The following is a 12,080-nucleotide window of genomic DNA, read 5'->3' as shown; positions in this document are numbered from 1 at the left end:
GGGCCCAGACTCAGCTCAGCACTCCTGGGCTGCGTGCTCTAACTCTGGGAGGGCTGGTGCTGGGCGCCTGGCTGTGCTATCTGAACCCTCAAGGTTAGGAATCTATTCTGCTGGAGGGGCTGAGTTGTTCCCAGTCTGCTGGCCACAGCACTGTGATGGAAGATGCTAGCCAAAGCACTTGGTCAGGGTGGTGTCAGTGAGATCTGTGCTTACTGATGTATGGCAGCAGCTGCAGCAGCATGGCGGGGTGCACACGTGTTAGCTGGGGAGGGGTTCCAGCAGAAATGGGGAGGCGGTGTTCCTGCATGTGCTCATGCCAGTGGTGGTGGTGGTGCATTGGTAGGGGGGAAAATGGGGGCTGGGGCACTGGCAGCCGTGGGGTTGCTGGTGTTGCACTTGTACTGGCGGTGGTGGCAGCTGGGGTGGGGTGCTGGTGGAGGTGAGGTTGCCAGCATTCATGAGCATGTTATAAAATTTTTAAATTTTTGTCTCAATTTTTTTTAAGTCACAAACATTTTTATTGGAAAGCAATGAGCTGCAGCAAAGTGACACTCAGTGCATGCAGCCAAATGGGTGAGGTGGGGGTACAGGTGGGTGCCAAGAGCTGACCCAAGACTAGAGCTCATGACCTCTGGGGCCTCTGGCTATAAGCCCTTTGGGCTGGAGTGTGCAGGCCCAGCAGAAATACAAAAATAAACTCTGTGGTCTAGCTGTCCCTGCCTGTGGTAGTTCGTTTGGGCAAGGTGGTTACTCTTTGCAGCAGGTCCTGTGCTGTCTAGTCCAGCCACAGCGTGGGCAGCAGAAGCCTATGGGGTTGAGTGGACACCTACAGGCTGGAGCCAAAGGGCCAGGCAGGTGTGGCCTTGGGCAGTGCTGAGACTCTGACAGCACCAGGGTCTGGCCTGCAGCTGGGGAGGCCTCAGGGCCTCTCAGGTGGGCAGGTCCAGGCATTGGTTGAAGCTGGATGAAGCTGGGGCCTGTGCTACTCCTCATCACATACAAATCACTGGGAACCTGTCCTCCTTGGTCTGGTCTCTTCGGCCCCACCCTCACTGCCTCCACCTCTGCTTCCTTTCTCTTCCTCCTCTTCCCCCAGTTCCAGGTCCATCTCGTTGCCTGCCTCTGAGGGTGTGCAGGTGGAGCTGCTAATGGAGCGGTGGCTGAAGAAAACAATTTGCTTGAGCCCTTTGTTGTAGAAGAAGTAGTTGAAGGACCAGAGGGTATCTTCTTCTCTGAAGGCATCTGGGTCCATGTCTGGGTTATAGCTGTGGGTGTCTCATTAAGCCAGGTGGATCTCCTCATCCACTGTGTTCCACAGCTGTGTTCTAGGACCTTGATGTCCCCCCACGCAGCTGAGAACAGACTGCGGTTGACTGCATTCACCACCCACCTGAGGCTGGGCTTCCGGCTGAACCCATGGCTGCGGGCTGTGCTGAGGTCATAGTCAGGCCTGAAAGGACTCGCTGAGCATGACAATCAAGTGGAAGAGGGTCTTGCAATTGCACTTGTCCCTGAGGGGGGCCCTTGTCCTTGCCACCTTGGTTCTTGCTCAGGCTGCTGGGGCTGAGGCCTGAGGTCTGGGATGGGGAGAGAGCCTTCAGTATGTGGGCCGCCCTCCTGTCAGAACAGTGTTTGTCGTCTCCTGCTATCTTACGTGAGTAGCTCTCAATCCTGCTGATAATGTGGGTATCTTTGCTCTCTACAGTTAGCTGTGAGTTGATGGCTTCAAAGCCCAGTTCTCCAATAGCTTCCTGTCTCAGGGAGGGAGCTCCATGCTTGAGAGGGGCCATTGCTGCCTGCCTGGTGGGGCTAAATCAGGCCTGGCTGGGTCATCGGCACCGGTGCATAGGCAGGGCAGGCTCCGCACAGTGTGGGCTCCTCAGCACCAGAGGGTGGCACCGTGGCATCCACCTGGGCCACACTGTATCTGGGGGAAGAAACTCCATGGCAATGTTTCATTATACCTGGCCCTGCTGGCTCATCCAGGTGGTCACTATGACACATCCTTACCACACTGCACATTGCCTGCTTTAGCCACCAACATGCCACCAACCACCACAGATCACCTTGGTCAGCCAGCAACCTCCACCTCCCCCACCAGTCAATGTCTATCAGTCAAAATTCCTAGAACTAAATAAGTATAAAAGAAACTTAACTACTTCAACTTAAAAATAATTTGCTTCTGTCTGCCTATGAAAATGTTAATATTTGTGAAATCTGAGTGAAGGGTATATGGCAATTCTTCAACTATTCTTTCAACTGCTCTGTAAGCCTGAAATTATGTTAAAATAAAAATTCAAAAACAAAAGCCAAAAACCTTGTACCCTTAAGGGTTACTTGAGTTAGTGGTTCACAGCAACAGATACTCAAATCTGGTTTGTGTTACTTCTGAAAATTAAGCTTCATATCTTTTTCTTCATGGCTCTTTCTGGTGTAAAGTACAACTTGAATCTCATGTTAGAAGGTCTATCCCAACAAAGCCCAGACCACTGGACTCTAGAGGCTTCACGCATGTGGCAGACTCCTGAATATTGTCAGGCTTTATCTCCCATTTTCTGGCATTGCAGGTACTTTACTAAGGCATTTAGGTGCTAGCTCTTTGGGGCTCTCCAGGTCCAATTAGCATGATAAAGATATGTAATGGATCAGCTTGGGCTTCTGGGTCCCTCCAGATTGCATTCTGACTAAGTGCAGGCAAGCCGACATAGCCCGGAGGCAGGACAGTAAAAGTATACTGCTGTCCCTGCCACAACAGGGCAGAAGAGGATTAAGGTGGGGGTGGGCAGGATAAAGCATTTGCCAGGTCAATAGTGGCCCAGGTGCCAGGGACTGTGTGGATTTGCTCCAGTAAAAATACCGTCTCTGCAATTCTGGTTGTGATTCACCTCACCACTGGATTAGTCCGTGATGATCTGTGGTCATTTTCTATGACCTACTTGATTTGTACACTGATCAAACAAGTGAGTTAATTGTGGATTTGGTAGGAATCACTACCTTGTATCTTTCAAGTCTTTGGTGGTGGCATTAAGCTCATGTGAGGAGCAGAAAAAAAGTTTGTGAGAAGGCTGGCACACTGTAGGAGCTTGATAAATGATAGCTATCATCATTGTTGTTGTCATGTGTTATTGTCTTAGCCAAGTCAGGGTCAAAATTTACATTATCTTTTTTCTTTTTGAAATATCATATTTCATTGCTCCTAAGAAGCATACTGTTGTGTACTTTAACATCTCTGAAGTCAGGATATGATAATAGTTGATGGTATGTTGTGATTGCTGTTGTTTCGATTAAAATTGTGTTCATTTGTAGAGGATTTTTCTTTGCTTCTGCCTGTCACTTGGGGCACAGGCTGAGTTACCAATGAGAGTAAAGCTTCAGGACACCTCATTTGCATGGCCCTTCCAAGGTCCTGAAAGGGTTCCACCTCACAGCTTCATGGGATCAAATTACATATTTTTTTTCTGAGACAGTCTCAATCTGTTGCCCAGGTTGGAGTGCAGTGTTGCTATCTCAGCTCACTGCAAACTCTGCCTCCCAAGTTGAAGTGATTCCCATGCTTCAGACTCCAGAGTAGCTGAGGCACGTGCCACCACACCCAGCTAATTTTCTTTGTATTTTTAGTAGAGAGATGCAGTTTTGCCATGTTGGCCAGGATGGTCTCAAATTCCTGGCCTCAAGTGATCTGCCTGTCTCAGCCTCCCAAAGCGCTGGGATCACAGATGTGAACCACCACACTCAGCCTCATCATAGGTTTTTATAAAATTTGCAAGAGTAAGATATTTTGTATTTCTTTTTTAAAAGAGGGCATCAAATTATATAAGCTTTGGGTTCTACCCTTGCCAAGGAACTCATAATAATGTGAAACTACAGGTGGTCCCTAACTTTACGATGTTTCAGCTTATGATTTTCCAACTTTGTGATAGTGTGAAAACAATATGCATTCAGTGTGCTTCTCAACTTACAACTGGATAAAGTTGACTTATGATATAGTCACCTTATGATGGTTTATCAGGACATAACATCATCATAAGTTGAGGTGCATTTGTACATTAAATTCTCTGAGGTTTTTTTGATGGCACAAGTAGTACCAGAAAACTGCATGAGAACCAACTTTTGATTCAAATTATACGGGCAGATTTTACTTCCTCCATCCATGGCAAAATTGAAACATGCAACTTCTCTTGCTGTCCTACTATGCATGTCCCTTTCTTTCTCTTTTTTCTGTATATTTCTCATGGACCCCCTCCACAGAGGCCTTTAGTGTCTCAGCTTTATCTGGGGTCTAATAGACTTCTATCTGGAGTAGTTTCATTTTTAGTGGCACATCCAGTAATGGTATCTCTATTAATCAATGATGCCTTAGGTTCCATGAACATAGTACATAATAGGGTACTCAAGATGGGTCCCCCTGAGACCAGCAGGCTGGCCTGTGGAGTTTGGACAACACTGCCCCCTAGAGGTCTGTCTTGTAACCTGAGAAGATTAGCCCCCTAACAATTACTGACAGGGAGTTTCTTAAAAATCAGGAAGGATGCTCACTTTTATTTATTATTTATTTTTTATTATTATTATTTTTGAGACAGAGTCTTGCTCTGTTCCCCAGGCTGGAGTGCAGTGGTGCAGTCTCAGCTCACTGCAACCTCCACCTCCAGGGTTCAAGCAATTCTCCTGCCTCAGCCTCCTGTGTAGCTGGGATGACAGGCGCCTGCCACTACACCTGGCTAATTTTTAGATTTTAAGTAGAGACGGGGTTTTACCATGTTGGCCAGGCTGTTCTCGAACTCCTGACCTTGTGATCCACCAGTCTCGACCTCCCAAAGTGCTGGGATTACAGGCGTGAGCCACCGTGTCTGGCCTTATTTATATTTTTAAAAACAGGATCTCGATCTGTCACCCAGGCTGGAGTGTAATGGCATGATCATGGCTCCCTACAGTCCCCACTTCCTGGGCTCAAGCAATCTCTCCCACCTCAACCTTCCAAGTGATGGCAGTGGCAGCTTATCTGGAGCAGCTGCTGCAAAGACGCTGGCTGCAGTAGGGGAGGCACACCAGGGCTGTGTACTCCAGGAAGCTGGCAAGAGCCGGTGGAAGCTGGCAGGAGCCGGTGGAAGCTGGGAACAGGAGGAAGCCAGGACTCATTCCTGGTTGGAGAGACAGGAGCCCCACCCTCCCAGGTGCAGCTGCAACTGCCCAGCTGCCCTGCAGACCTAGGCATTCCTGCACTCTCGGGGGCCAGGAAGTCCCCCATGGCCCCATAGGCTTGGGAATGCCTGCTCCTGCTGCCTGGCCTCTCTCTGCTCCTGGCACCCACTATGATTGTGGAGCAAAGTGAGGCTGCCCAGCTGTGGCTGCAGACTCGGGCATTCCTGCAGTCTTGGGGGCCAGGGAAGCCCTCACAGGCTTGGAAATGCCTGCTTCTGCTGCCCAGCCTCTCCCCACCCATGGCCGCCCATAGGCCAATCAGCGTGCATTGCTGATCATTCCTCCCCTTTGAAGACCATAAAAACCCTGGACTCAGCCAGACTTCGGCAGACATCAAGATGATCTGCCTGCGGAGAGGAGCTACCCACTGTGGGTCTCCTCTCTGCTGAGAGCTGGACTCTCATCAGGATGACCTGCCTTCAGAGAAGAGCTACCCACTGTGGGTCTCCTCTGAGCTGTTCTGTGGCTCAGTAAAACACCATTTTGCCTTGCTCACCCTCCACTTGCCCGCATACCTCATTCTTCCTGGACGTGGGACTTGGGGTACCAGGGCTGAAAGAGCTGTAACACAAACAGGGCTGAAACACACCCATTGCTCACCACATTGCAGGTGATAAGAAGGAGAAAAGAGAGAAGGAGAGAAGAGCTGTGGCCCTTTGGGGAGCCCAGACCTAGGAGCTCCCCGAACCAGGGCTGTGACACCCTATTTGGGGCTCTGCAGTTACTGGCATCTCCAAGCTTCTGGGCACCACAGCGTTTCCTGATGACAGCTGTAGAAGCTGCTTGCAGTATGCCTGGTCCAGCTGCAGACTCGCAGGGAGCCAGCACCTGTGCCAGCACCTGGAGCTGCCCACCCCACCACAGCCAGTGTGCCTGGCTGTGAGAAGTGGCCAGACCCCACACTTGCTTGCTCACACACCCCTTGCCACTCCATGCCTGGCTCACCCTTGGCTGGAATGGGAATCAGGCCAGTTGCGTGAGCTGAGCACAGCCTGCCAGGCTGAATAGGTGGTATGAGCCCAGCGGGCCTGAGCAAAGCTTGAGCAAAGATGCCACTGACCACAGAGATTTCTGGCCAGAAAAGTGACACCCCATCTATGGGCGTACAACCCTGAAGGGGCCTGATCTTTTTTTTTTTTTTTTTTTTTTTTTTTTTGAGACGGAGTCTCTCTCTGTCGCCTAGGCTGGAGTGCAGTGGCGCGATCTCGGCTCACTGCAAGCTCCGCCTCCCAGGTTCACGCCATTCTCCTGCCTCAGCCTCCCGAGTAGCTGGGACTACAGGCGCTCACCACTGCACCCGGCTAATTTTTTTGTATTTTTAGTAGAGACGGGGTTTCACCGTGTTAGCCAGGATGGTCTCGATCTCCTGACCTCGTGATCCGCCCGCCTCGGCCTCCCAAAGTGCTGGGATTACAGGCGTGAGCCACGGCGCCCGGCCAGGGGCCTGATCTTGTCTGGTCTTGGAAGCTAAGCAGGGTCAGGCCTGGTTAATACTTGGATGGGAGAAAAGCAATGCCCCAAGGATCCTGTGACACACAAGTAGCTGGGATCACAGGTGTGATACACCACATCCAGCTAATTTTTTTAAATTTTATTTTATAGAGATGGGGTCTCCTTATGTTGCCCAGGCTGGTCTCAAACTCCTGTGCTCAAATGATCCTCCTGCCTTAGCCTCCCAAACTGCTGGTATTAAAGGTGTGAGCCACTGTGCCTGGCTGGATGCCCACTTTTAGTATGGTTATTCAACATAACACTGGAAGTCCTGGCCAGAGCAATTAGGCAAGAACATAAACTAAAGGGCATCCAAACTGGAAAGAAATAAATCAAATTGGTCTTGTTCATAGATGACTTGATTTTATACCTAGAAATACCTAAAGGCCCCACCAAAAAACTACTGGAACTGATAAACAAATTCAGCAAAGTTGCAGGATACAAAATTAACACACAAAAATCAGTAGCATTTATATACACCAACAGCAAACAATCTGAAACAGAAATCAAGAAAGCAATCCCATTTACAAGGTACAAAAATATAAAATATCTAGAAATCAGTCTAACAAAGTAAAAGATCTATATAAGGAAGACTATAAAACTCTGAAAAAAATAGGAGAGGACACAAAAAAATGGAAAGATATTCCATGCTAATGGATTGGAAGAATTAATATTGTTAAAATAACAGTACTACCCAAAGCAATTTACAGGTTTAATGAAATCCCTATCAGAATAGCAATAACATTCTTCACAGAAATAGAAAAAAAGCCTAAAATATATATGAAACCACAAAAGACCCCAAATAACCAAGGCAATAGTGAGCAAAAAGAACAAAGCTGGAGGCATCACACTACCTGACTTCAAAATTCACTACAAAGCTATAGTAATCAAAACAGCATGGCACTGGCAAAAAAGCAGACACACAAATCAATAGAACAGAATAGAGAACCAAGATATAAATCAATTCATTTACAACCAACTCATCTTTAACAAAGGCACTAAGAATACACAATAGAGTGAGGACAGCTTCTTCAATAAATGGTGCTGGGAAAACTGGCTAATTATATGCAGAAGAATGAAACTAGACCACTGTCTCTTACCATAAACAAAAATAAAATCAGATGGTTTAAAGACTTAAATGAAAGACCTAAAGCTATGAAAGTACTAGAAGAAAACACTGGGAAATGTTCCAGGACATTGAGCTGGGCAAATATTTTTTGTGTAAGACTTCCAAAGCACAGGCAACCAAAGCAAAAATAGACAATTGGGATTTCATGAAGCTAAAAAGCACAGCAAAGGAAACAATTAACAAAGTGAAGAGACAGCCCACAGAATGGGAGAAAATATTTGCAAACCATCCATCTGACAAGGGATTAACAACAGGAATATATAAGGAGCTCAAACAACTCAATAGCAGAAACACAAATCATCCAATTTAAAAATAGGCAAAAGATCTGAATAGATATTTCTCAGAAGTATACATACAAATAGCCAACAGGTATATGAAAAAATACTCAACATCACTAATCATCAGGGAAATGCAAATCAAAACCACAATGAGATATCACCTTACCCCAGTTAAAAGCTTGTATCAAAAAGACAGGCAATAACAAATGCTGGAGAGGATGTGGACACAGGGGAACCTTGGTACACTGCTTGTGGGAATGTAAATTAGTACAGCCATTATGGAGAACAGTATGAAAGTTCTTCAAAAAACTAAAATTTGATCCAGCAATTCCACTGCTAGAGATATATACCCCAACGGAAGGGAATCAGTGTATTGAAGAGATATATGCACTCTGTTTATTATAGTATCATTCACATTAGTCAAAATATGTAGTCAGGCTGGGTTGGTGGCACATGCTTGTAATCTCAGCACTTTAGGAGGCCAAGGCAGACGGATCACTTGAGGTCAGGAGTTCGAGACCAGCCTGGCCAGCATGGTGAAACCCCGGGTCCACTAAAAATACAAAAATTAACTGGGCATGGTGGCACACACCTCCCAGCTACATGGGAGGCTGAGGCAGGAGAATTGCTTGAACCTGGGAGGCGGAGGTTGCAGTGAGCTGAGATCATACCACTGCACTCCAGCCTGGGCAACAAAGTGCCACTCTATCTCAAAAAAAAAAAAACAAAAAAAACCTTCCAAAATATGTAGTCAACTTAAGTGCCCATCAGTGGATGAATGGATAAAGAAAATGTGGTATATATGCAATGGAATATTATTCAGCCATAATAAGAATGAAATCCTGTCATTTGCAACAACGTGGATGGAAGTGGAAGAAATTATGTTAAGTAAAATAAGCCAGGCACAGAAAGACAAACATGTCATGTTCTCACTCATATGTGGGAGCTAAAACTATGGGTCTCATGAAGATAGAGAATAGACTGGTGGTTACCAGAGACCAAGAAGGGTACAGGAGAAGGGGAATGAAGGGAAAAAAAGAGAATACAAATGTATTTATTACCACTGAAGTATACACTTAAAAATGATAAAGATGGGGCCGGGTGTGGTGGCTCATGCTTGTAATTCCAGCACTTTGGGAGGCCAAGATGGGTGGATCATGAGGTCAGGAGATCGAGACCATCCTGGCTAACACAGTGAAACCCTCTCTCTACTAAAAATACAAAAAATTAGCCGGTGTGGTGGAGGGCGCCTGTAGTCCCGGCTACTCAGGAGGCTGAGGCAGGAGAATGGCTTGAACCAGTGAGGCAGAGCTTGCAGTGAGCCGAGATGGCGCCACCGCACTCCAGCCTGGGCGACGGGGCGAGACTCCGTCTCAAAAAAAAAAAAAAAAAAAAAAAGAAAAAAAATGGTAAAGATGGTAAATTATGTATGTGTATTTTACCTCAATTAAAACAATTTTTTAAAATTAAGTTCTAGGGTACATGTGCACAATGTGCAGGTTTGTTACATAGGTATACATGTGCCATGTTGGTTTGCGCACCCATCAACTCGTCATTTACATTAGGTATTTCTCCTGATGCTATCCCTCCCCCAGCGCCCCCCACCCCAACAGGTCCTGGTGTGTGATGTTCCCCGCCCTGTGTCCAAGTGTTCTCATTGTTCAGTTCCCACCTATGAGTGAGAACATGAAGCGTTTGGTTTTCTGTCTTTGTGATAGTTTGCTGAGAATGATGGTTTCCAGCTTCATCCATGTCTCTGCAAAGGACATGAACTCATCCTTTTTTATGGCTGCATAGTATTCCATGGCATATGTGCCACATTTTCTTTATCCAGTCTATCATTGATGGACATTTGGGTTGGTTCCAAGTCTTTGCTATTGTGAATAGTGCTGCAATAAACATACGTGTGCATGTGTCTTTACAGTAGCATGATTTATAATCCTTTGGGTATATACCCAGTAATGGGATCGCTGGATCAAATAGTAGTTCTAGTTCTAGATCCTTGAGGAATTGCCACACTGTCTTCCACAATGGTTGAACTGATTTACACTCCCAACAGTGTAAAAGCATTCCTATTTATCCACATCCTCTCCAGCATCTGTTGTTTCCTGACTTTTTAATGATCGCCATTCTAACTGGTGTGAGATGGTATCTCATTGTGGTTTTGATTTGCATTTCTCTGATGACTAGTGATGATGAACATTTTTTCATGTGTCTGTTGGCTGCATAAATGTCTTCTTTTGAGAAGTGTCTGTTCATATCCTTTGCCCACTTTTTGATGGGGTTGTTTGTTTTTTCTTGTAAATTTGTTTAAGTCCTTTGTAGATTCTGGATATTAGCCCTTTATCAGATGGGTAGATTGCAAAACTTTTCTCCCATTCTGTAGGTTGCCTGTTCACTTTGGTGGTAGTTTCTTTTGCCATGCAGAAGCTCTTTAGTTCAATTAGATCCCATTTGTCAATTTTGGCTTTTGTTGCCATTGCTTTTGGTGTTTTAGTCATGAAGTCCTTGCCCATGCCTATGTCCTGAATGGTATTGTGTAGGTTTTCTTCTAGGGTTTTTATGGTTTTAGGTCTAACATTTAAGTCTTTAATCCATCTTGAATTAATTTTTGTATAAGGTGTAAGGAAGGGATCCAGTTTCAGCTTACTGCATATGGCTAGCCAGTTTTCCCAGCACCATTTATTCAACAGGGAATCCTTTCCCCATTTCTTCTTTTTGTCAGGTTTGTCAAACATCAGATGGTTGTAGATGTGTGGTGTTATTTCTGAGGCCTTTGTTGTGTTCCATTGGTCTATATATCTGTTTTGGTACCAGTGCCATGCTGTTTTGGTTACTGTAGACTTGTAGTACAGTTTGAAGTCAGGTAGCGTGATGCCTCTAGCTTTGTTCTTTTTGATTGTCTTGGCAATGCAGGCTCTTTTTTGGTTCCATATGAACTTTAAAGTAGCTTTTTGCAATTCTGTGAAGAAAGTCATTGGTAGCTTGATGGGGATGGCATTGAATCTATAAATTACCTTGGGCAGTATGGCCATTTTCACGATATTGATTCTTCCTATATATGAGCATGGAATGTTCTTCCATTTGTTTGTGTCCTCTTTTATTTCATTGAGCAGTGGTTTGTAGTTCTCCTTGAAGAGATCCTTCACATCCCTTATAAGTTGGATTCCTAGGTATTTTATTCTCTTTGTAGCAATTGTGAATGGGAGTTCACTCATGATTTGGCTCTCTGTTTCTCTTTATTGGTGTATAGGAATGCTTGTGATTTTTGCACATTGATTTTGTATCCTGAGACTTTGCTGAAGTTGCTTATCAGCTTGAGGAGATTTTGGGCTGAGACGATGGGGTTTTCTAAATATACAATCATGTCATCTGCAAACAGGGACAATTTGACTTCCTCTTTTCCTAATTGAATACCCTTTATTTCTTCCTCTTGTCTGATTGCCCTGGCCAGAACTTCCAACACTATGTTGAATAGGAGTGGTGAGAGAGGGCATCCTTGTCTTGTGCCGGTTTTCAAAGGGAATGCTTCCAGTTTTTGCCCATTCAGAATGATATTGGTTGTGGGTTTGTCATAAATAGCTCTTATTTTTTTGAGATACATTCCATCAATACCTAGTTTATTGAGAGTTTTTAGCGTGAAGGGGTGTTGAATTTTGTCAAAGGCCTTTTCTGCATCTATTGAGATAATCATGTGGTTTTTGTCATTGGTTCTGTTTATGTGATGGATTATATTGAGTGATTTGTGTATGATGTTTAAAAAAAGCTCAGAAAGTGTCTGGGGATGTTGAAACAGATGCCTGGTCACTTGCCTTGATTTGCATGGGGCTGAAACAGGAATGAGAATTCAGCCCAGAGATAGGGTTCAGAGCTGTCAGAAGAACTGATGTAATTTGAGGTGGGTCCTGAAGCTAGATTGAGAGACAGCCTATGAGACCTTGGAGAGAAAATCACCATGAGGGAGAGAAGAGACTGGCAGAATA

General features: G+C 45.5%; 1 long non-coding RNA gene and 1 pseudogene across 12 annotated transcripts in view, besides 3 other annotated features; one reads left to right on the top strand and one right to left on the bottom strand.

Moving 5' to 3' along the window:
* Positions 1 to 795: 795 nt before the first annotated feature.
* On the bottom strand, positions 796 to 1,921 carry MAF1P1 (MAF1 pseudogene 1; annotated as a pseudogene).
* BFSP2-AS1 (BFSP2 antisense RNA 1) overlaps positions 1,447 to 12,080 on the top strand; it is a 64,708-nt gene continuing 54,074 nt past the window's right edge. For all 12 annotated transcript variants that reach the window (NR_189058.1, NR_189057.1, NR_189059.1 and 9 more), the window contains exon 1: positions 1,447 to 1,654. This is a non-coding gene — a long non-coding RNA (BFSP2 antisense RNA 1). The remainder of the gene's footprint in view (positions 1,655 to 12,080) is intronic.
* Positions 3,326 to 3,455: an enhancer, noted in NCBI's record as "active region_20548". NCBI's record gives its function as "activates an Ori minimal core promoter by ATAC-STARR-seq in GM12878 lymphoblastoid cells {active_cell/tissue: GM12878}" and the evidence as "EXISTENCE:reporter gene assay evidence [ECO:0000049][PMID:35858748]".
* Positions 3,476 to 3,525: an enhancer, noted in NCBI's record as "active region_20547". NCBI's record gives its function as "activates an Ori minimal core promoter by ATAC-STARR-seq in GM12878 lymphoblastoid cells {active_cell/tissue: GM12878}" and the evidence as "EXISTENCE:reporter gene assay evidence [ECO:0000049][PMID:35858748]".
* Positions 4,677 to 5,177: an enhancer, noted in NCBI's record as "H3K4me1 hESC enhancer chr3:133206223-133206723 (GRCh37/hg19 assembly coordinates)". NCBI's record gives its function as "activates a minimal SCP1, AML or CMV promoter by ChIP-STARR-seq in naive H9 embryonic stem cells {active_cell/tissue: H9 hESC(naive)}" and the evidence as "EXISTENCE:reporter gene assay evidence [ECO:0000049][PMID:30033119]".

The sequence above is a fragment of the Homo sapiens genome, chromosome 3 (assembly GCF_000001405.40).
Source record: "Homo sapiens chromosome 3, GRCh38.p14 Primary Assembly".
Classification (NCBI taxonomy): Eukaryota; Metazoa; Chordata; class Mammalia; order Primates; family Hominidae; genus Homo; species Homo sapiens.
The sequence above is the reverse complement of the archived record's forward strand: the minus strand, read 5'-3'. Positions and strand labels throughout refer to the sequence as shown.